Source organism: Homo sapiens, chromosome 1, assembly GCF_000001405.40.
Source record: "Homo sapiens chromosome 1, GRCh38.p14 Primary Assembly".
In the NCBI taxonomy this organism is placed as follows: Eukaryota; Metazoa; Chordata; class Mammalia; order Primates; family Hominidae; genus Homo; species Homo sapiens.
Window position 1 is genome coordinate 236214479 of NC_000001.11, and position 25664 is coordinate 236240142.

General features: G+C 35.5%; 1 protein-coding gene and 1 long non-coding RNA gene across 2 annotated transcripts in view; one reads left to right on the forward strand and one right to left on the reverse strand.

Moving 5' to 3' along the window:
- Positions 1 to 622: 622 nt before the first annotated feature.
- Positions 623 to 25664, reverse strand: part of ERO1B (endoplasmic reticulum oxidoreductase 1 beta) — a 66858-nt gene continuing 41816 nt past the window's right edge. Inside the window, exons 7-16 of the mRNA NM_019891.4 lie at positions 21800 to 21920; positions 21311 to 21357; positions 18350 to 18361; positions 15746 to 15772; positions 12169 to 12261; positions 11791 to 12037; positions 10592 to 10661; positions 7446 to 7532; positions 6354 to 6487; positions 623 to 4098 (exon numbers count right to left, since the gene is read on the reverse strand). Coding sequence (NP_063944.3) covers positions 4038 to 4098; positions 6354 to 6487; positions 7446 to 7532; positions 10592 to 10661; positions 11791 to 12037; positions 12169 to 12261; positions 15746 to 15772; positions 18350 to 18361; positions 21311 to 21357; positions 21800 to 21920 — 899 coding nt within the window. The 3' untranslated portion in view covers positions 623 to 4037. The remainder of the gene's footprint in view (positions 4099 to 6353; positions 6488 to 7445; positions 7533 to 10591; positions 10662 to 11790; positions 12038 to 12168; positions 12262 to 15745; positions 15773 to 18349; positions 18362 to 21310; positions 21358 to 21799; positions 21921 to 25664) is intronic.
- On the forward strand, positions 6484 to 24834 carry LOC124904561 (uncharacterized). Its single transcript, XR_007066961.1, has 2 exons — positions 6484 to 7407; positions 24519 to 24834. It is a non-coding gene; the product is annotated as an uncharacterized LOC124904561 (long non-coding RNA).

Consider the following 25664-nt stretch of genomic DNA (forward strand, 5'->3'; position numbering starts at 1 on the left):
ACATTGGTAATGTTGCAGGTTAGCAAGTACTATCATAAATTTTAGATGGTATGTGAATTGATGACTACCCCTATGAAGGACAATATGCCAATATCTTTCAAAATTATAAATGCACACAGTCTTTGCCCCCAAAATTCTTATCTTTGGGAATTTATTCTACAGGTACAATATTTATATAAATGTGAAATGACATATGTACAAGGTCTGGAAACAACCCAGCTGCCCATTAATAGAGGACGGGTTAATTCAACACTGGCACATTCACATAACAGAATACCAAGTATCTACTTCAAAAAATGAGAAAACTATCTAGTCATATGTGAAGACTGCCAAGAAATACTAGGTGAAAAAAATGAAGTCGTATGTATATGATGTCAATTTTTGAGTAAAAATGAGAGAAAAAATAAGACTTTCCATTTGTATATGTTTGTACCTGTCTACAACAGTGTGAATGGAAACCTAAGAAACCAAGAGCACAGGCTATTCATGGTGGGAGATGAGTGTGCAGTGGAGGAAGCTGGGCCAAGGACACAGGAACACATTCACTGAATAACTTTTTATATTGTTTGTTTCTTTTAACCATGTGAATGTATTACCTATTCAAAAAATTAAATAAGATAAGCATATTTTATAAGCTTTATGATTCAATACAAATCAAACAATGCTTTTAATTGTTCCCACTTTGTAGCTGAATGGAAATAGGCCAACTTACAAAATGTCACAAAGGTTCTAGAATCAGTCTTTCTCGTCTCAAATTCTTGCTCCACAACCTAGAATTTGTGACTATGGACAGGTTACTTAGCCTTTTTTATCCTCAGTCTTCTTACTTATAAAACAGAGAAGTAATTGTACCTACCTACTAGTGCTATTGTGAAGATTAACGGTGTATTCTTTTAAAGCCAAACTATGCATGTAAAAGCCCTTAATACAATGCCAGCCAATGCTTGCCATTATGATAAGAAACAACCTCAGACTACTTATAAATACATTTTCTCCCTTCTCCACAGGTTACAATCAAATTCTCATGCCATAAAAAGAAACACTTAAAATAGCGGGGAAAAACAAGACAGAAAAGATTGCAGAAACATGTACTTTAATTCACATTTTCTAGATTCTGGTGGGTACAACAGTAAATTATTTGGAATTCTGTTCAAAATCAAAGCTGCACCTGTAGATATTCCTTAAAATACAGTACACATAGATTTGTGTGTGTGTTTTTTTACCAAATAATTTCCACGATACCATGCACCTAATCTGTGTATTTTGGTGAGTAGCTATGGTTTCTGCAGGTACCTCAGTTTGCAAACTACTGAGAGGTTTACTGTGAACTGTTCCCAAATTTTCAGCTGAAGGCAATGCTGATGAAGATCAAAATAGCTGTCCTTTCTTATATACAGTGGCACATAGGCAAAGTTGAAAAACATGGCAGAGTTTCATATACATACAGAGATTACAAATATCGAATAATTCACAATGTTAAAAATGTCAAAATAAAACGTTTTGACTTATCAAATTTCAAAAGTGTGGAGTCTTATTCTGTCTGATCCTCCTCATAATCTAAGAATCAAAACAGGAGAAACATTCAAAGTTTACCAATTTTAATATATAGTTTGTCTAACTTACATAGATGCCACTTAAGTAAAAAATAAACTTACGCCATTGAAGGAAGGAATATTTTCCTTTTCTTCATTTTCATTACTTCATCAGTGGGTACAATCATTTCTGTCAGTTATATTATCAAGTGCTGGGTTTTTAAATTAGGTGATGAGATAAAGACAAAATGCCAGAGCACCAGCAAAGCATTTTTACAATGCAAACAGTACTCTAGTATAATATCACTTCACGACAAAAGATGTGAATTGGAAAAACAGTTTAGATCACAAGAACCATAAAATGTCACCAGGCTCACACAATCATTTAAGAAATAAAAACACATACACAAAAATGTAGGCTGCCCCTACAATCTAATTTATGATAAAATAAGATGAATTTCAGCCTAAGAATACTTCATTTATTTTCTTAGTTGTGAAAAAATTAGTTAAGAACCTTAAAAAGAACTTTTTACTCTAACCAGATCTTTTAATTTCCTAGAACATACTCTAATATACTAGTTTTCCTAAGCTTGAAACAAATCACAGTACAGAAAAAAACAATAAATGGACATGAGCGAGGATTTTCTCCAGTAAACAGTTTAAATAATAGCCTTTAACTGAGGGAGTGGTGAAATAACACTATCAAAAAGTTCTTTACATTTAGAGTGATAAACAAAGTGCAGATTTTTCACATCTTAAACTCTGAGTGAATACTAAGAATAATTCTTACTAATTTACTAGTTAAATTAATTGGATAGTCACTTTTTAGACAGTTTGCCTTAAGGCCCCCCTCCCCCACCATACAATACTTGCAACCCTCAAGAAAAAGTAGAGGAGGCTCCAATCAAGTCAGCCTTTTAAACAACTTAACAAAAAATACTACCACCATCAACAACAAAACCCCAAGTTTATAAAGGTTTGAAATTAGGTGAGAAAATAAATAACTCTGAGACCTTAATACCCCCACCACATCCCACCAAGAGATGGCTAAGTATTTTTAAGAGGGGTGAGCCAAGCCAACTAAATACAATTTTTTAGATGTCACCAAATCATCAATGAACACATTTCAGACTTTGACAGGATAAAATATGGATTTAAGAGCACTTATTCTTTAATTCAGAAAAGACTAAAGAGTCTAAGGAAAAACTCTAGATCTTGTACCTGCATTACTTCTACACAGATGCAATCTTCCAAATTGTATCTGCTGACATTTAAAAAAAATCAAGATTTTAAATATTGTCTAAAGATTTTAAATCCCAGATTTAGAAAATGACAGTTTAGGACTGTTGGTATGAATCACAGAAAGTCCTCTGTTGGTATGAATCACAGAAAGTACCGTTTATATACAGTGAAAAGAAAAGGTGAGGGGAGAGTAAGCTTAAAGGAGGGTTGACCTAATCTACCTTTTTATATATCCTGTCAGGGAAAAGCACACTGAGTTCGAGGATTGCATAGATTGTATTCTAAAATAAATCCTTTAAAAATGCTTACTTTAAGTGAAAATAGCAAATTTTGTGTATATAATATTTTCAATTGGCATTATAAATTCATATAATCCCATTTAAATTTTATCAAGAAGTAATCTGTTAAATATTTCTGCAGTGTTTTCTTTCTAAAAGTAACTGACAATTTCCAAAATGTCTTTGTCCCTAAAATTTCTAGGGGCAGAGAAAAGCAAAATCAAAAGGAGTTCTAAGTAAAAGAACACTCTTGGGCCAGCCCATTACACACACAAAATCTGGCTGGGTAGCATAGGGGAGAGGTCTTGTTCACCTTTACCAAAGGAGGTCCTTTAGACTGGAAACAGCAACAATTACAGCAACTAAAAACTGCAAATAAAAACCAATGAAATTGAAGTCCTGGGGAATCTTCAGGAATTTCTGTAACTATGCATTGAAAGGGCCATTCATCATGGTGACAGTTCCAGATTCTAGAAATATTATAGTATTTCTTTATATTATAGAAAGTGACACACACACAGTGAGGCAAGGGTAAAAACACATTAAAAAGCATTGATAAATTTTTCTCACTGACACCAGCCCTGAGCAACATTTGTTCCCTAGTTCTCCTTTTCCATAACAGACTGAACAGTGTTATTAGAATGCAGACATAGCCATTTAAAGTTTGACAACTGGAAATAAAGGATAATAGAATAAAAACAAAACCAATTCTAAAAAAAATAGAATTTTCATTACATGAAAACATATGAAATTAAACACAAAATTAGTATAACTTACATGTTTTAAAAGTATATACTTCATTTATAAATATCTCTAGTTGATAATAATCTATTAAGAATCATAAATATTCAAGTGAGCATTTAAATTTTCTATTTAATAGTTCAGAATTCTTGAAGTCAGATTAGTGTCTTTCTGATGAATGTCCATAATTAAAAGGCTTTCCACAGTCACTTTATGTCTCTAGTTAGACACATAAAAGCCTTTATTACCTACTGTGTTGTAATAAGACTTTAAAATTCTGTAAGTCTCTTATACTTGTAGAAAGCCTATGGAAGAAAGAAAAAGCTTATTAGTAAGGCTAACATGTTGCATACTGTTTCAAATTATTGATATTGTTACATAAGCTATAATTTGAAAGCAAAACCTAAAATAAAAAACCTCAAACACTGAAGCTTCCATGTTTAAATTAGTGTTCTCATTAAGACTGGTTTAGAAGGGGCAAAGGAAGCCTGTTACTTCATACTATCTACAGACATTAGATTAATAATGGGAACAGTGATATGAATAATTCTTAATAAAGAATCTCAAATCATTTACAATTGGTCTAATAAATTTATTTTGCACATTCCTCTTCAAATGATTGCTCTTTACTCAATGTTCCCCAAACACACTAATTTGTCTTATGTTGTTAGCTCCCTAAGGGTAAAGACTCTATTTCATCTCCTGCTGAGTCTCTCTCCTGTGCCCCATACCCATTGATGCTTATAGTATTCAGTAAATGATTACTGACTGACTAAATGAAGTGCTTCTCAGCCCAGGCCAAAAAGTAAAACTCTGGGATGGGAAATATAAAAAAGTAATTCTAAAAGCTCAAGTATCCCTATGTACAATTCAGGGGTGATAGAAGAAAAATCTTTAACTATTTGATAGAAGAAAAATTATTCCTTAATCACTTAGGAGGACAGGCAATGTTCTAAGCCCATCACATATATGATCTCATTATCAGGAAACAAACTAGGAAAGCAGTGATTTGCCTGAGTTCATACCACTACTAAAGGGCAGGCCAGGATTCCAGAACTTTAGGACCCCTGATTCTGAGTCCATTACTCTAGGGAACAATAAAAGGTAATAAGCTCTAGATATAGAACTAAAACAAGAAAGGCTGCATTTGTGAATATTTTTTATGAGATCGAAGGAAATTTTCAATTGTTTTGAAATTCTCAATTGTTTTCATCTTTCTCAATTTAATTTGGACTTAAGAGATGCTTAAGTTATTTACAATATTTTTCATTTCAATTTATTTAAATTTCATTCAGTATCTCCTGTGTTATCTTTCTACAGGCCTCATAAGTGGATGGACTGAATTTTTTATGAAATACCAGTTAATGGATAGTCTATATCTATCCTGTGTCTGAAATCTCAACCTACATAGTCATCTTTAAATACAGGGAAGCAACAGCTGAAATCCTTGTTATTAAGATGGGAAATGGCCAGGTACAGTGGCTCATGCCTGTAATCCCAGCACTTTGGGAGGCCAAGACAGGAGAATCACTTGAAGCCAGGTGTTTGAGACCAGACTGGACAACAAAGTGAGACCCCCATCTCTACAAAAAAAATTTTTTAATTAGCCAGGCAAAATAGCATGTGTCCGTAGTCCCAGCTACTTGGGAAGCTCAAGTGGAAGGAACGCCTGACCCCAGGATTTGGATGCTGCAGTGAGCCATGATTGTGCCACTGCATTCCAGCCTGGATGACAGAGCGAGACCCTCATCTCTTTTAAAAAAAAAAAAAAAAAAAAAAAAAGCAGGGGACATATAATAAATCTGTTTTTAATTTAACTGCTTCTTTTTAACTTAAAACACATGTTAAGAAAACCAAGAAATAATCTTTGTATTACTTAGTCCCCTATTTTTTTTTTTTTAATTCTTCCTCAAGTTGACTTTTTTCTCTTTTTCCCCAAGGAAGCATAGTATTATTTTCTGTGATTCTTTTCCTTCTGTTCTGTATTCCTCAGTTGGCATTACATGTATCTCTGCTGGCAAATTCAAATTATTTTTTAAACCACTGGTGATATAAACAAGCAAGCAAATTATATGTCTCTATACAGAAGTAAATCATGTAGAAATGAGTGAAAGAAAAATGACCTCTGAGCTTCAGAAATAAAGAGCATAGTGCAGGAAAAAGGTGAGAAAAGAAAAAAATAGTAATGAAAATTTAAGAAAAATAAGGAGCAGATGAAGGTTTTAATTTTCTTTTATCACCTTCTCAATCACACATTCCTTACTCCTGCTATTGTAGTTGAACAAGTTATAGCCAAGCAAAAAGAATATTAGAAGAATATCTCCCTTACAAAATTAAGGCAGCAAACTGAAAAACACTGGCAATTGGAAACTTAGTTTTTCCTATGACCTGTAGAGAAACTGACTTGTCAGCATTAAGGCCTCTCTAAGTTAGTACAGATACAATATAAAATTTTTTTTTGTCAACAAAACAAACCCTACTTTTAGCAAAGAAGATTATCTTTGCAGTTTGTTGAAACCCAATGGGAAATCAAAAATCTTCAACATATAATGGTTCTTACCTTCCAAAAGCATTTAAAAGAGCAACTATTTCCTGTCGGGTGAGTTGGAAGCCTTTAGATGGACTATTCTCTGGAAGCTTTTGGATTTCTTTTTCAGAGAATAATATCTTCAGGGCAGTTCCTAAACCCTGAGTCTAAAGAAAATAGCAATAAACTCATAATTAACTTTAAATAATAATAACTAGTAAAAAGGCTTAAAGGAATATATAGCCACTGTTATGCCAGTTAGGAAATTCATATGAACTGAGCTTTTCACAAAAATATTACTACAGTTTCTACTTTCTCACAGGTTATGCATATAATAAACACATCTGAGCAGTTAAGGAAACCTGAATAGTCTTAACACTTATTGAATACATATCATACTATTCCAAATTATTAAAATGACTTTTTTAACCTTGAAAATACCATATTAGGATTACAATGTTCAATTTGTAACCATAAAGGACTTTTTACAGCTTTTAGCAATTCAAAACTCAGAGATTATTGATACCCACACTTAATAATTTCTCAATTATTAGCACTATAGAAAAAGACATTTTATTTCAGTATAGCCTCCACTGTAATAATTTTGTCTCTTAATTTTCTATAAGTTACCATCTTTGTTAGAAAGAGATAAAATATTCAACAATCCTTTTGACACTGGCTTACACAGAGTAATGGACCTGTCTTGCGGAGCTTTCCTGTTTTGACTAAGTGACCTTCTTTTGCTCATTTATACAAATTCAATGACCAAGACTTCATATTTCAATCTTTTTATGTAATTACATTTTACCTTTCTATATACATATGTAAAATACGGATATACTCGGTTCGTAATGACCACCAACTTCACAAATGAATCTGGTATTGTATCAATAGAAACATAGACACAATAAAACTAAAATCACTAAAGAATAATATGAGAAACATCCTTTCACATACATGTAACACATATACTTTAATTTTTTCATCAACAGAAAAAACACCTTGGATCTGCCTATTCCTAAATTCTAATTCAATGAACAATGAGGACATTTTAATAAAAAGCTTGGACTCAGTGGAAAAAATAAAGGTTAGTAATGGCTTCAAAAGAGAAGACAACACATATACCTGTAATTTTCCCCATAATCTGCATTTGTCACATCCAACACAGTCCATTATACGGGAGATATTCTTGAAATGTAATCGGAATTCCTCCTAGCAAGCAGAAAATATTTTCAGTCTAATTAGACTTTTAAAATTGAACCGCATTTGGCTAAACGATAAGTAAGTTTTGATGCTTATTAATAAATCAGTTGTGTTTTTTGTTTGTTTGAGAAGGAGTTTTGCTTTGTCGCCCAGGCTGGAGTGCAGTGGTGCCATCTCGGCTTAGTGCAACCTCCACCTCCCAGGTTCAAGGGATTCTCCTGTCTCCTCAGCCTCCCAAGTAGCTTAGATTATAGGCGCATGCCGCCATGCCCAGCTAATTTTTGTATTTTTAGTAGAGACGGGGTTTCGCCATGTTGTCCAGGCTGGTCTTGAACTCCTGGCCTCAAATGATCTGCCCACCTCGACCTCCCAAAGTGCTGGGATTACGGTGTAAGCCACCATACCCAACCCGAGTTGTGTTTTTCAACAGTAAAGAAAAATACTTGATACTTGTATACTATAACATGGTACATAAAATACTGACATTAATGGAAATTAATAAAATTCATTCTGCATATTAATTCACTTTCCACTGAGGAGCTACTTTATGCAAAGCACCAAAATATGCACTATGGGAGATACAAAAGTAAATAATACATGGTCTTTACTTTTAAGGAACTTAATTGCTGCTTCCATTTGTTATCTACATACAACCAACAATAAATATGTCTAGTTTATGTTTCACTTATTTTTGATCCTTTGCTTTGTGTAAGCCTATATCAGAAAGCTAGTCCTAGAACAATGATCAATTTTTGTATCACTCCTTAGTACCACACTATGTTTGTCATGGTTGCTCAATCAATATGAATGATAACAGGCCTGTGTGACACATATGGTCCCACAGTCCTCTACATTTGCTAATGCAGTTGTTATGGAGATGCTTACTGGATCCCTCTATTTTGCTGTAATAGTTTCCCACACTGGTCAGGCAGGGTGGCTCACGCCTGTAATCCCAGCACTTTGGGAGACCAAGGTGTGATCACTTGAGGTCATAAGTTTGAGACCAGCCTAAACAACATAGTGAAACCTCATGTCTACTAAAAATACAAAATCTGCCAGGTGTGGTGGTGCATGCCTGTAATCCCAGCTACTTGGGAGGCTGAGGAAGAAGAATAGCTTGAACCCGGGAGGTGGAGGTTGCAGTGAGCCAAGATCGCACCACTGCACTCCAGCCTGGGCAACTAGAGTGAAACTCTGTCTCAAAAAAAAAAAAAAAAAAAAAAGAGAAGTTTCCTACACTGGGGAAATTCTTCTGCCTATAAGCATTTGTGTGCAATATGCCTTTAAGGTTGGTCTCACTTTATCTGCGGATAAGATTGGTTAAGAGAAAATTTCCTCATTTGTTTCACATGGCAACTGCAGAAAATAAAAATCATTTTATTGCATTGAGGGAAATATTTTATTGCATGAAGCGGGAGGCAAGTAGCCTGAAAACTCTGGCTACCACAAGCCCTGACCAGCTGCCAGAGGGTTGAAAGGAATCAATACCTTGGCAAAGAAAGACAATATAAATAGAACACAAAAACTCCTGTGCTGGTCATATTCTCATGTAATGTAAGTTCTTTGCAGCAGATGGAAAAGGGACATAGGTTCTCCTTCATACATTCTTGACAAACAGCAAACAAAATCCCAGCATTGTGTAGTTAAAAGCTTGCTGTGAGACACTTAGGCTTTGCTTAGTCTCACTTTCCTCATCTACAAAAACATACATAATTATAGTTGCCCTATTACACAAGATCATTCTGAAGATTAAAAGTAGAACATATGTGTTGATACTTAGAAAACAGGAAGCATTATAAAAATGAATTAACATACAAAATACCAAAATGGCAATATACCTCTAAAACAACTGTAAAATAAAACAACCTTCCAACACTAAAATATAGTTGTGACTAAATTACTTATTTCAGAAATACCAAGAAAGTCTCGCCAAAGGAGAATCACTCAGTATTGATTTATTGGTTCCTATAGTACATCCACATCTAAAACATCTTGGGGTCAAATGTGTTTTAGAATTCAGAAGTTTTTAAATTTTAGAAATACAGTACATGTACTGTATATTATGAAACATCTCACCAGAGTGTGAGGAAACACCCTGCAGTCAAATCCGTTAATGTTTCTGTAGCAAAATATAAAAAATTCATACCAAGCAGAATTTGAAAACAACCCCACAAAACTACGAATATCTGCTATATTCTTACACCAGTTTAGGTCAGGTTTTGCTAAAAAATTACCTTGCACTAAACATAAGAAAATGTTTCAGTTTTTGAAACTACCCGGATTTCAGAAGTACATATAAAAGACTATGAAGTTGTACTCAAAGATTATTTGTGGCCAGGTATGGTGGCTTGTGCCTGTAATCCTAGGTACTTGGGAGGCTGAGGTGGGAAGACAGCTCAGGGCCAGGAGTTTGAGACCAGCCTGGGCAACATAGCGAGACCCCATCTCAAAAAATAAATTTAAAAGTAAAAAAAAAAAAAATGCCAATTTCAAATACTTTTATGAACATTTTAAGGGTACAATTTGTTTCTTAATGTACTTTAAGCAAATGAAAATAAAGAACACCTAACATGAAGTTTGGTAATGTTCCCAAAACATATTCTCCTTCTGATGTCACATGTTAACAGGTAGTTTTAACCTTTTAAGTTAGTCCAAAGGGACAAAAACATAATATATGTTTCAAAAACCGTAACATTCCATAAAATAAACTTTAGAAAAATATTTATTGTCCTCAAAGTGGCTAAAAGCTCATGGTATTCTGAAAGCTGCATCAAAACGACAATATACACTGCTTTTAAACTAAGAAAACTTTCCCTCAACTAGTATCTTTTAAAAAGACATTTATAAAGGTGTTATAGGACATACTAATGACCAATGATTCACTAAGCAGTTGGTCAATGGAACTGAGAAATATGGAAAGGCTTTTTGTACCATTTGTATTAAAATCCAATCAGACCAACTCTGACAAGAAGCTGGAAAACTGGGAAAGAAAACAGTTTGGATGCACAGCATTAAAGCATAACCAGCAAACTGCTCCCAACCCCGTGTCCCAATCGAGAACTTTTTACCTTTAGTGACTTGGCCCCTTTTTTGTCACCTGCAAACATGGATTTCTCATCAAAGTGCATGGGAAAGGACCTGATAAAATGATAGTATTGGATTAAGTTACACATGAAAAATCCACGTACTCTGTATCAGAAACCTGATAAAATTTTCTATCCTTATGAATATTTAAAATTCATTATTTACTCCGATGTAAGTTTTGGTAATGTAGAAAAGTGACAAACAGTTCACACATAAACTATTTCATAAAAGACTAAAGCAAGACACAGATGGCTGTTAAATTTAGTAAGACTGTAATGTTTTAAATAAATGACACAGGTAATCTAAAAAATTAACTGAAAACAATCTATGTAAAAAATAGGCAATATTCCCTTAATATTCTTTAAAAATTTAATACATAATTTACTTTAAACACTTTTTAATCTTTCTCTTCCAGGCTATTTTAAAAACCAGTTAACTCAAGTTTTCTTGACCAAGCGTTTTGTTTAAAAGGTTATATTCTAGAAGATAAGGCTAATGTTTCCTTACATATCCATCCCAATGCAAACACATGTATATTATCATCTAAATTTAAATATAGTGACTAGAGGCCAGGCGCGATGGCCCATGCCTCTAATCCCAGCACTTTGGGAGGCAGAGGAGGGTGCATCACTTGAGGCCAGGAGCTTGAGACCAGCCTGTCCAACATGGTGAAACCCTATCTCTACTAAAAATACAAAAATTAGCTGGGTGTGATGGCACACACCTGTAATCTCAGTTACTTAGAAGGCTGAGGCACAAGAATTGCTTGAACCTGGGAGGCAGAGGCTGCAGTGAGCCAAGATTGTGCCATTGCACTCCAGCCTGGGCAACAGAGCAAGCCTCTGTCTCAAAAATAAGTAAGTAAATAAAGTGACTAGAAGAATACAAAATTGGTAGAAAGACCATTAAAGTAGCACTAAATTTTGATACTACATAAAATTTAGTGATATTTTAAAGCACTATTCTCAAGTGTGAAAATTTCTGCAAAAGAAAGCCTTATTAATGCTTTTTCATCAACATTTTCAGAAATATTTTTAAATTCTGTTGTTCTATTGATCACTTTCCTTTTCTGTTCTACATCTCCCCTCGGTTAACTTTTAGGAGTCAGTTTTTGTGTACTTTAAGTGCTACCTCATTTGAATACAGAGAGGAGAATTTCAAATCACGGATAGTCAATTCTTACTTTGTATCTTGAAAGATATTCAGTAGAAGAGTTTTTGTGTCAGCATCTTCTTCTGCATTTCCAGTGTAAAGATCGACAATTGAGCGCTCAAAATATGGAGCCACCTTTGACAAAGCTCGAAGCTCAATCAAGTATAAAAAGTAAAGATTCTTGAGCCTTCTTGGACCTTCTCCCTTGGTTTCCACAGGGTCAAAGCGGTGTTTGAATTCTTTAATATTAGGTCCCCAACTGGGCTTACCCCAGGTTTCTAAAGAGAAAGAGAAATACATTACATTGTTTTAGTAAACAGGATTTTTTTTCTGCTCTAAAGAATATGTATTCTCTCCAATAATTTTTACACTAATAGAAGGCAAAATCTCGACTTAAAAATATGATTACCTTCCAAAAGATAATTTGCGCATAGATGTAAATTGATGCTAGCATGAAGTCCCGATATAAGCTTATAGAAGACTCTTTTCTCCAGACACAAACCTATTCAGAAAAATATTGAAAAAGAAATTACACCTATTTAGATATCAGAAATATTGACTCAAGGAGGTTCAGTATGTAGGCTTATTTTTGATTGAAGAACATTAAAATAAATCAAGGAATAATATAAAACTGATTAGATCAAGATTCTCTCACTAGAAGGCAAAGTAAGATTTTGGCTTCAGAATGGAGTTAACTGAATATGATGAGAACTTAATGCTGAAAAAAGCAGAAAAGTTTGAGCAACTAGGGGTCAAAACACTATGGATAAAGTTGGCAAGTTCCCATGTTAGACAGCAACAGCACAGGTTTTCTTGTGGTTTAGGCTAAGAACTTACTGAAGTAAATGTAATTATAAAGTCACTGCTGGATTTTTCCCCCTTCCTTATATGTGTTATTTGCTAGCAGAGAAATAAGGGTTTTATTAACCTTCTGCCCTGAAATTGTCTAATTTTTTAACCATATGTTCTACTTGTAAGGAGCTGAAACTTGGAAAACAGAAATCCAGGAATTTCAACTAATTAAAAAAAGAACAACAAGTTGACTGTTTACTACTTCAGTGGAATCATATCAGTGGAGTACAGGAATATAACAGAACGTTATTTGATGTAGCCTTCTTAAGCCACAGGGGCTTTTTTGCTGAGAACTTAAGAGGTCAAGATATCCCGTCATCCTATCCTAACCCCTGCCCCCATTTTAAAAGATTTTCTCTCATAATAGGAGTAATACACATTGTGAATGTATTTAATGCCACTAAACAGTAAACTTAAAAATGATTAAGATGGTAAATTCTTAAATAAATAAAAATGCAGAAAATTTTAAGAAGTCACTGGATACACGGCCATGAGCTTTTCCCTCCTTCATCCAACAGGTTTTTAACACTTTCCCCATGCAGGAAAATGGGCTTTAATAGTGGAAAGCAAAATAGTCTCATTTATATGATGGGGGAAATTTTTTTTTAATGTAAGAGTATGTGGTTTTCTTTGTGTCTATTAAGATTTTCCAGCAATTCACTCTCTCTTTCTGTCCTATCACAGATGATTCTGAAGCACGTGGCCTCTAACTAGAAAAAATAATTCTTTTGAGTTCTCGTTCCCTAATTGGGAATTCTTGCTAGAATATTCAAATTGTCATGGATGGGGACCAAAAGAAATTGAATTTTATTTTGTAGCTTCCTCCCTAAAAGTATATGACAATTTTGAATGTTTACGATAACAATGGATACAAACAATATGAATATATTTAATACAACATTAAGTACTAACTTCTCTTCTACTAAAACTTTTCATCAGATCTATTATCAAGTAACAAAATATCAGATTTGAAGTTCACTTTATTTTCTTCCCAACCTCTCTCTCTAAGCAGTGCTTATGTCCAATAAAATGGATAAAGACAAGAGAAGGGACAGTAAGCAAAGCAAAACTCATGAAAATCCATATGCCTACAAACCAGGACCTGGAAAACTGGGAGGCAGTTATAATTTGCAAAGCCCACAAAGCCCCTACCACTGCAATGAGGTAGGGGATAAGTGAGGGGAGAGGAATAGAAATGTATTTCCACAAACTGTGAAAAACAGGTAACTTTAAGCAAATTAATAATAAAATATGCACCAAGTAAGTGCACCCAGACACACAACACACTTAGCAGGAAATTGCTGGAGAGCTTCTCCTGGCCTACACACAGTCTGTGCCAGGCTGGATGGTATCTTTAATTACCGAGGTCCAGGCAAAAGCCTTCTCAATCTCACTCTGAAGTGACATCTGCAAAAGCTGACTTACCAAGGCAGAATCCACCAACTTCTAACAACATAGAGCAATTCAATTACACAATTTAGAAAATGGTTCTCTTCTTCCTCTTTTCGATTTAATTTCATTAAAATGCATTTTCAGCACTTGAACTTTCAGAAAGGGGTTGCATTTACTGTAACAGTAATATTTGGCATTTGGACGTGGATTTGTGGTTTCCAAAGGAACCTTTACAGGAATCATCTACACTCACAGTGTAAGTAGGACTGCTATTGCTCCTCTCCACGCTCCAGATGAGGAAACTGAATCTCAGAAAAGGTTGAGTCAGCTGCCTATAAGGGAATGCTCTTTGGAACCATGTATCAATATTCAGATACTCAAAACAGTAAGACTGGAAGAATGGTTGATATAATATACATAGAATCCAATATTGTTTCTAAATTTCATTCTCATTACTAACACTCAGAGTCTCTGACTACCTTTTCTAGCCTAAATGCTACTTTTCACAATTTGTATCTTTAGAGTAGAGCTTATTAAACAAAGCTAAACATCTTCTACATAAGTGATTTTCTCATATAACTCCTAACAGAATTTGCACATCAATAATGTTCACCTTAATAATGGCCAACATATGCACATAGTTCATTACAAACAAAGAAATAGGCCAGGTATGGTGGCTCACACCTGTTATCCCAGCACTTTGGGAGGCTGAGGTGGGCAGATCACTTGAGGCCTGGAGTTCAAACCAGCCTGGCCAACACGGCGAAACCTCATCTCTACTAAAAATACAAAAATTAGCTGGGTGTGGTGGCGGGTGCCTGTAATCCCAGCTATTTGGGAGGCTGAGGCAGGAGGATCACTTGACCCTGGGAGGCAGAGGTTGCAGTGAGCCGAGATGGCGCCACTGCACTCCAGCCTGGGCAACAGCGAGACTCTGACTCAAAAAAAAAAAAAAGAAATAATATTCATAAGATAACATGACCAATTGACATGCATAAAATAGAATTAGTTTTACTCTGTAGTATTCCTATAAGGTTATGGCTATGAAATATCAATTTTCCTATGTCATTCTACTTGCTTATCTGTTACTAATATATTTTAATTTTTAATTTCATATACTAATGGCAATTTGGTAAGGTAAATTTTTAAAAGCATCATATATCCAGTTATTAACCTGAGTTATTAAAATCCTACAACATTTCACCTTTCCATTAATAGCATTTGATATTTTCAACACTGGAAGTACAAGAATGCAAAAGCATCTAATATATCAGGATCTATATTGCTTTATCTTTTAATCAGACAAGGTTAGACTATATTAACGTGGCAAATATGTTTCGAATCTTTTGAATTCATATTTATCTTCCATTAATTTTATATATAAAAAGTACTTCCTTCCAAAAGGAATGTCTCCACTTTTAAAATATTTTGCATACTCGTTACTAGAGAAGTAGTTTGAATGAACATTACATACAGAACAGAAATAAGATTAGGGAACCAGTTATGAAAACCTGATGACAGTATTTGGCCTGTGTATTTATATAAACCTGGTTTTTAGCTGACCACTATCTTCAAACTTTTCACATAATTTTATCCCCATATGTTAACCTAAAACACATTTTTTTTTTCAAACTGTCAAAATTAGTTGACTAGGTAATAAAATCCTAGACCTTACAAAAATATGCTAAATAAATCAGTATTTTTTAACAAAAAATCCAATAAATTTAGAACAGACTGTTTACCTTCTAGCCATGTGTAGAATGATTCTCCTGAGAGAGAGAGAAAAGTGGATTAAAACATTATATGGTCATTTATAAAGTAGAATAAATTAGGTTTATAAAATCTTTCTGCAGGGCATGGTGGCTCATGCCTATAATCCTAGCACTTTGGGAGGCCGAGGTGGGCTGATCACTTGAGGCCAGGAGTTTAAGACCAGCCTGGCCAACATGGCGAAACCCCATCTCTACTAAAAATACAAAAAATTAGCCGGGTATGGAGGTGCAGGCCTGTAATCCAGCTACTCGGGAGGATGAGGCAGGAGAATTGCTTGGACCCAGGAGGCTAAGGTTGCTGTGAGCCGAGATCATACCACTGCCCTCCAGCCTGGGTGACAGAGTGAGACCCTGTCTCAAAAAAAAAAAAAAAAAAAAAAAAAATTATGACAGATTAAGTAATCTCTCTAAAATGTCTACTGCTTCAGGTAAAATAGAAAAATAACCATATGGTTCTAGGAAATAAAACCTACAAATAATTTAAGTAACTTTAAGAGAGTGTTTTTACAAATATTTTGACTATTAAATTTTTTAAGAAAACATTTCAGTCAAAATATGAGCTGGCCACAGTGGCTTGGACCTGTAGCCCCAGTTAACTCAGAAGGTTGAGGGGGAAGGATTGCTTGAGCCCAGGAGATCGGATCCAACCTGGGCAACATAGCAAGATCCTGCCTCTTTTAAAAAAAAAAAGTATATAAATCTTATTCATTGAAGGTGTAAATATCTGAAAACATAGGGCAAACATTTTAACGATCTCAAATTTGCTTTTCATAACAACCATAGTGCTTTTTAAATATTCCAAGAAAATAAGGAATTATAATTAACACAAACGTCCAACTATTGATTATTCCATTTTTCCTAATCCAATAAAACTAAAAATATTTCCTCAATTTTCTAAGACTAATAAGTTTTAAGGGACAGCTAAAAAATCTCTTAATTTTCAATATAATTCTTCAGGAAAGTTAATAGAATACAGAAGGGCTTGACTAATCTGTGTACTAATGCTGAAGAACATTCCTGGGGTCAGGGAGATGCTGGTCAAGGGATACAAAATTTCAGTTAAAGAAATGCAGTAAGTTCAAGAGATTTATTGTAGAACATGCTGACTACAGTTAATTACAACGTATTGTATTCTTGAAAATTGCTGCGATTTTAAGTGTTTTCGCCAAAAAAATGGTATGTGAGCTAATTAGCTCAATATACCCATTCCACAATGTATACATATTTCAAAACATGTTAAACACTTGAAAAAAAAAAAAAAAAAGAACCATTCCTGGCCCTGTAACCTTCTTCTGAGTTGGGGAAAGAGAAAGAAAAGAGAGCAGTCAATAAGAATCAAAATTGTTAATGCACTTCCTGCGTTACCTATCCTTGATGTTGTTTTTTTTTAAATTGAGAATGATAGAAATTATAGAAAAACCGAACACTCAGATGAGCTGAGTAAGGAGTCTAGGGATAAACTAGACGGTGGGGAATTACTTTGCCTCCTGAGAGTCTTCATACTTTGTACAAAAATGAAAACGTCTAACAAATTAATTCATTCAACATATAGTAAGGATCATTTATCATTATATCACTTGTGATTCAAAACACCTCAAGTGCCAACAGGAAAAGTCTAGTACCCAACGTACTAAAAAATATGGCCTCTATCAATCTAATTTAAACTACCACTATATAGTCTTACCTACCACTAAAAGGGTCTCTTTACTGTCTCCCCAAACATGCCTGACTTGTCTCAACTCCCAGCTGCATGCTGTTTCCTCCAACATGCACTATCCAATTGTACGGATCTAAATCTGTCCCATTATTCAAAATTCACCTCAAATGCTACCCCTCCTCCAGTAAGCTTTCCCACATCGCTCCTGTGAGATACGATCTGTTTCTCCTCTAAGGAGCTATATATATCACCTACTGTTTGTACCATCTATGGAGTATTTCTTTACCTCATTACCATTGTTTATGTACAGTGCTTATCTTTCCTACTATCCTATATATCCTCAGCTCCTAGAGGGAAAGCACCATGTTTTAAACATCTTCCTACCCTGGACAATGCCCATCAGTGCCCCTGAACACAGAGAGGTAAACATTCAGTTGAAATAATTATTTTGGCTATTTTGGGGGTATCTTTTAACCAACATTCATTCAATAATCAATTGTTAATAAATTGCTCGTCATCAAATTAAGTATTATATTGATACCTGAGGTTAGAAATTTCAGTCAATAAGAAAATAAAGAGGTCACAAGACAAATTATCTGGTAAAACTACCTTAACTCCTTCTCCCCACTTCCTCAGGACATATTCAAGTAAATTATATAATAACCAGAAAATGGGGAACTTGTAATGTGAATTGATTTACAAACTAAGCATTTAGGAAAAATGGTCTTTTTTTTTTAACATAGGATAACTTGATATATATAAAATAATCTTTTTTTTTTTGGTCACCATTCATTAGTAGCTATTTTCTTAGAAAACAGGAATACTTTCTTTTGAATTCCATAAAGGAAAAATCAAATTCTGATTGTTACAAAAAATTTCCTCCACACTTGAAACAAACAAACATGAGTTTTGCTCACCATCATCTTCGCCTAAAAGAGAAAATAATAGAAAAGATTTTAGAAAATGTCTTACATAGCTCAGATCCCAATACTATTTTTTGAGATTAAAACTGTTAAACTATTAATTATATCACAAACCTTGGTCACTGAGTAGACGCCCTGCAAATGAGTCCTCTTAATCAGAATACAGGTCAAAGAGTATAAGATTTGCACATTTTGGCCAGGCGTGGTGGCTCACGGCGGTAATCCCAGGACTTTGGGAGGCCAAGGTGGGTGGATCACCTGAGGTCAGGAGTTTGAGACCAGCCTGGCCAACATGTGAAACCCTGTCTCAACTAAAAATACAAAAATTAGCCAGGCATGGTGGCATGTACCTGTAATCCCAGCTACTTGGGAGGCTGAGGCAGGAGAATCACTTGAACCCAGGAGGTGGAGGTTTCAGTGAGCCAAGATCGCGCCATTGCACTCCAGCCTGGGCAACAAGAGCAAAATTCCGTCTCAAAAAAAAAAAAAAGAAGAAGGCTGGGCACGGTGGCTCAGGCCTGTAATCCCAGCACTTTGGGAGGATCACCAGGTCAGGAGTTCAAGATCAGCCTGGCCAAGATAGTGAAACCCCATCTCTACTAAAAATACAAAAAATTAGCCAGGCGTGGTGACCGGCACCTTGTCATCCCAGCTGCTCAGGAGGCTGAGGCAGAGAACTGCTTGAACCCAGGAGGCGGAGGTTGCAGTGAGCCGAGATCACACCACTGCACTCCAGCCTGAGTGACAGAGTGCGACTCTGTCTCAAGAAAAAAAAAAAAAGATTTGCACATTTTAAAATACAATAACATCAGAAAGCAACTAAAAAGTCATAAAGACCACTATTTTCAATAATTAATTAATTACTACATAAAGTTGCTCCTTTAATCATTATGCACACAATCCTCTCTGAACATTACTGTTTCCAACCTGGAATATTTTTCTCTTTTAAATTACTGCTCCTCAGCAGAGACAGGCCTTAGTAAGAGTATATCCCAAACTGTAATCAGTGAAACCCTTGGGCAAGGTGCTGCTTCCAGGAGGCCTAGAGGTGAGGAAGAGGCCAGAGGTTGGGCTCTAGGGCAACACAGCAGCTCTGCCTATCAGCTTTATTATGTAGGTTCTGAAATAAGATTTCATTTTTGGACAAAAGTTCCTATTGCTCAAAACCTGTTAGAAAATAGTTGTATAAGCCTAGGGGTTATGACTCAGAAATGTGGAAGAAAGAGTTAAGAAGATTAAAGAACTATTAATCAACCAATTTCAATGGAGATAGCAGGTAAATAGCAACAGCAAGAGCTATTAATTACTTCATAGAGTACTCCTATAACAGCTAGGAACCATTCTCTTTACCTAGTCTTGTCTTCTTTCATATTTCATTTTTCTTCTTTTCTCCTCTTCCCTTCCTCTTTTTCTATGTAGTAGTTTCCTTTTCCTCATCTTTTCAGCAGTGTTATGTCTCTGATATATCACTAACATGGAAATGAAGTGTTTCTTAGGACTTGATGGTTTTCTTAAGTGAAAAAATTGTATTTTCTGCTTTAAAAGTATTAAGTGGCTGTAGAAAAGGTCTGGAAGAACACCTTTCAAACTCTGTACTATGGAATAGAAGAGCTTTCCCTTTTCACTTTATATAACTACTATATTGCTTCAATTTTTATAAAATTTTGTTTAATTAAAACCTTTAAGTTGAAAATAGAAAAGTTGTGAGGCAAAAGTAGTAAAAGAGACAAAGGATAAGAAGCCAGGCACGTCTTTTTCAGGACCAACTTCCTTCTCCAGGCAGTTTCAATGTGAATTTGGGGAAAACAAGTATTTGCCACATTGTGACAGAGTGAGCATGAAAAAGCAGTCTATGCAGTCAACCCTTCCAAGTCTATTTGGTTCTCAGAAAGGTCTAAAGATACAAATTTAGATCAGGAAATCAAATTTCTTAAAACACTCCCCGTCTAAAGAAAACACTGGAATGGCAGGTCAATGACAGAGTTGCTCCCAGGGTTTGGTTCCTCACTGAGAACAGACTGAGGATGTATCCCACTGATGACAGTAATGCTGTTCCATTGAAATATAACGCCACACACGAGTGTTAACTTAAAATGTTTCTAATAGCCACATTTTTAAAATTCAAAAGTATACACACACTACAACAAAAATATGTTACATGACGCATAGGTTATAGTAGTCTTACCAAAACAATAAGGTTCTGTTTAACAATATAGTTTTTACATCTAAATAAACTAAGATTAAATACAATTTAAAATTCAGTTTCACACTAGCCAAATTTCATGTGTTCCACAGTCCCATGTGGAAACTGGTTACTTTATTGGACAGTACAGATATAGAGCACTGCTAAAGTTTCTAAAATTGTTGTACATTTTTCCTACTGAAAGTGTGGTACATGAGTCGGCACCTGAGGCAGCACCTAGGAGTGTGTTTGGACCTCTCCCAAGAAATACAGAATCAGAAGCTGTATGTTACCAAGGCTCCTGGGTGATGTGTATGCACACTGAAGTCTAGAAGCACTGTTACGAGACACTGGCTGTCAAACTTGGTTGCATACTGGAATCATGTGGAGAGTTTAAAAAATAACAATGCCTGGTGTTCTCATTCCAAGGATTCTGACTTAATTAATATAGCGTAGGGCCTGAGCAACCAGATTTTTTAATAAGTCCCCAGGAAATCTTTGATATATATTGATTACTCACATATTTTAATTATTTTACATAAACTTCCTAGTTTAGGGTCTGGCACAGAGCAGGCATTCAATAAATGACAGTAATTATGTAAAACAACATGCCTAGAGATCTCGAGACTCGACTATGAACTAATCTTACACTTTTTGTTCATCATTCAAATTAAACAAAATATAAAAATGAAAGTTTTTTCAATATGAAGTTTAGTTATAAAGACATTTTATAAACAATGAAAAGCATGAAAATGTACATATGAAAAACCTACCTCGGCTAGGCGCCAGAGGATTTAAAGGACGATAAACAGATCGAGGCCTGAAAAAGAAAGCATAATACCCAAACATAGAATGTTTTAACTTTTATAGTGTATAATTTTATTCCAATAGAAACAAATACTCCCCTCCCCACCCTCTTTTTTTTTTGAGACAGAGTTTCACTTAGTCACCCAGGCTGGAGTACAGTGGCGCAATCTCTGCTCATTGTAACCTCTGCCTCCCGGGTTCAAGTGATTCTCCTGCCTCAGCCTCCCAAGTAGCTGGGATTACAGGCACCTGCCATCATGCCCGGCTAATTTTTTTGTATTTTTAGTTGACACGGGGTTTCACCATGTTGGCCAGGCTGGTCTTGAACTCCTGACCTCAGATGATCCACCCACCTTGGCCTCCCAAAGTGCTGGGATTACAGGCGTGAGCCACAGCACCCGGCCTCTCCCGACCCTCTATCAGTCGTTCCTTCTTCCCCCACCCCCTCCAGTTACTTGAAACAGTTCTCTTCATAGATGCTGTTCCACACTCTCCATGCAGAGGTCCCTTTATAGCCAGTGTAACGCTCTGGGTTCAGCAATAGGTCTACATACTGAGCAGCTGGAGATCTCTCATCTGAACAAGAAAAAATTCATAAAAACCATCCATATTTCACCATTTATCTAAGATTTAACAGTACAAAGCAAACCGGACTACTCAAAGGTAAGAAAAATGTCATGCTTTTCAAGTAATCTCCAACTTAAATGGTATAGTGGTTAGTATACTTGTGACTGTACTTGATGCAAGATTTGTAATAACTTGGACAAATTCCTTAAGAGAAGAAAAAACAACTCTTCCATTTCCTTTGGATACGCAGTGCTCTTTTAAGTAATATAACATCCCCTTCACCTTATTAGAGACATGAATCATTTCTTAAGTTTTAACCACCCAGGATTGAAAAGACCAAACAGAATCATAACCTGCTTTAATATTTCATATGATTTCTTCTCTAAGAATATATCCACCTAACCACGCACTTGGAAACATTTTGTAACATATATTGTATTAAAAATAGAGATTTCCCTGCTACTCTCTGCTTGGACTCATGAAGTAAACGGCTCCATAACTTTGTGATCCAAATCTGATTATTCATAAAGCTATACCATGCTCTAGTTTTTAAAAGTTATATATTACTATTTTTACTGATGTCAACATATTGAAGTGTTTTTTTTGCTCTCAAACTAAAACATAGTAGGCACAACTTTCACAAACTTGTTGAAATATTTAAAACTAAATAACCATTTTCCATATTGAAACCCAAATGAGTATTTACCCCGATCTCCACTATTTGGACTTTTTTTTTTTTTTTTTTTTTGAGACGGAGTCTCACTCTGTTGCCTAAGCTGGAGTGCAGTGGCGCAATCTCAGCTCACCACAACCTCCGCCTCCCAGGTTCAAGCGATTCTCCTGCCTCAGCCTCCCAAGTAGCTGGTACTACAGGTGCGCACCACCATGTCTGGCTTTTTGTATTTTTAGTAAAGACGGGGTTTCACTATGTTGGCCAGGCTGGTCTCAAACTCCTGACCTCGTGATCCACCTGCCTCGGCCTCCCAAAGTGGCGGGATTACAGGTGTGAGCCACTGTGCCCGGCCCTATTTGGACATTTTAATTGAGATCTCTGAGAAATACAAAAGATTTTAAAAATCTTAATTATTGAAGCTCACATTCTGAATAGAAATGGGAAACGTGCTTTTCATAGCTAAAGAAAAATTATAATGACCATGCCTCACACATGTATGCTCATAATACATAGATGCTCAAGTGTTATATATGGCACACGTATATTCCTTTATTTATATGCTTACTACCGTTTGTTGTCATGAATTTAAACAATAGTACAGAGGCAGCTGGTTTAAAACAGGAGTCAAATGTGGTCATTAAATGTCTCTCTTTCATTACCTGATGGTATATTTTCCTGTCAGTAAACAGTATTCCCTGGACAGTCAATGACCACAGACTGGGATTATCCATGATCACAAGGGCAAAACAGCATCTTGATCCATGCCTTCCAAGAATTACCTGGCACTTTTGTTTTTGAGACAGAGTCTTGCTTTGTCTCTCAGGCTGGAGTGCAGTGTGAGATCTCAACTCACTGTAACCTCCGCCTCCCAGGTTCAAGCAATTATCCTGTCTCAGCCTCCCAAGTAGCTGAGATTACAGGCACTCGCCACCATGCCTGGTTGGTTTTTTGTATTTTTAGTAGAGACGGGGTTATGCCATCTTAGCCAGGCTGGTCTCAAACTCCTGATCTCAGGTGATCCACCTGCCTGGCACTTTCATGATGTAGGAAGAATACAAGGATAACTAACAATTTACTGTATTAAATGGGTTGTATATAACTTAGACAATGGAAACATGATTTTGCAGACTATAAGAATACTGGCTCTATTTCTAGCTCTAAATTTGTAAAGATACTCCACTATAAAAAGCAAGGCAAGGAAAACAATTTACAGATGGATAGAAAAAACTGTCCAAGAACACAGATTGACTCAGGGCTCAAAAACAATAACTTTTAAAATCTTAATTTAAAATAAAAATTCAAATTATGAAGTATAAGTATGGCTTTTGATATGGGCATGGTGGCACATGCCTCTAGTCCCAGTTGCTTGGGAGGCTGAAGTGGGAGGATCACTTGAGCCCAGGAGTCGGAGGCTGCAGTGAACTATGATGGCACCACTACACTCCACCCTGGGCAACAGCCTTTTTTTTTTTTTTTTTAAAAAAAAAAAGAAAGTATGGCTTTTAGGAAAGAAAAAAAATCTTAAAATTCAGTATTTAATTTCTAAGTTGTATAGTTTTAATCTCCATAAGCTGCTCTTGAATAAATTCATCTGCAAAACTGAATTATATATAAGCTTCACAATATAACATTAATTTATGTTCTCTGACACATATATATTATATATTTATAAATAATTTGTGTATGTGTGTGTACATGTAGGACTACATGTGTATAGAATCCTCTACAAACGTGCAAATTGGACTAGTACCAACCTCTTTTCCCAAGAAAACCAACCAAATAACCAATAAAGAAGAAAAACCATGATTCAGATATTAAACCATGATGATTTAAAATATACTTTAAGGGAGCTAAAAAATCACAAGAGGAAAATCAATTATATCAGGTTTTTCATTGTTCTTTTTTAAGAAAAGTGGTCTTACTTTGTTGTGCAGGCTGGACTCGAACTCCTGAGCTCAAGCAAGCCTCCTGCCTCAGCCTCCCAAGTAGCTGGGACTCCAGGTGCTCACCACGACACACAGCTCAATTACATCAGGTTTTATAACTACTTAAGTAAAACTTACATTTTCAATGTTCTTAATGTTTATTCCCTTAGTTTAATCAATACTTTTTAAAAAAATCTTGTAATACTTTTTCAAATCATGAAAAGAGTGGGTTTTGTTAACCTATACAAGGAGTTTGCAAACTACAGCTTGTGTGCCAAATCTGGCCTGCTGCTTATTTTTGTAAATAAAGTTTTCATGGAACACAGCCATGTTCATTTGTTTACATACTGCTTTCACACTATTATGGCAGAGATGAGTAATTCCAACAGAGACCCTATAGTCAGTCTATAAAGCCTAAAATAGTTACCATTAGTCCATTTTCTTAAAAAGCTTACCAACCTCTGCTCTATACTGACAAGAATTTCATGGGACATCCAGAGTGAGCAACGTGTGTGGCAGAAAGCATCTACAGGCCAAGTTCTCTACAAACACACTAGCTGGTAGTGCCCATCCTTATCCCTGGGCCATCTGTGACACTGATTTTCATTTGTTCAACTGAAACTTGTCTCAGTTTGCACAGCTGCGTCATTCATTCAGATAATTCTCTCTAAATTATCTGGCCCTCTACTATGACCCTCTCCCACAAAAGTTTTATCTTCTTTCTGCCTCTACAAAGCAGCTTCATAATTCCTTATTCTTGGAATTCATGAAGTTGAACTAGTGTTATTTCCTCCTCTTCAAGTATATATATATATATATGTGTGTATATATATATGTGTATATATATGTGTATATATATATGTGTATATATGTATATATATATGTGTATATGTGTGTGTGTGTGTATATATATATATATATATATTTTTTTTTTTTGCGATGAGGCTGACTCTGTTGAGCAGTGGGGAGTGCAATGGCATGGTCTCAGCTCAATGCAACCTCTGCCTGTCGGGTTCAAGCAATTCTCCTGCCTCAGCCTCCCATGTAGCTGGGACTACAGACATGTACCACCACGCCTGGCTAGTTTTTGTATTATTAGTAGAGGCAGGGTTTTGCCATGTTGGCCAAGCCAGTCTCAAACTCCTAACTTCAGGT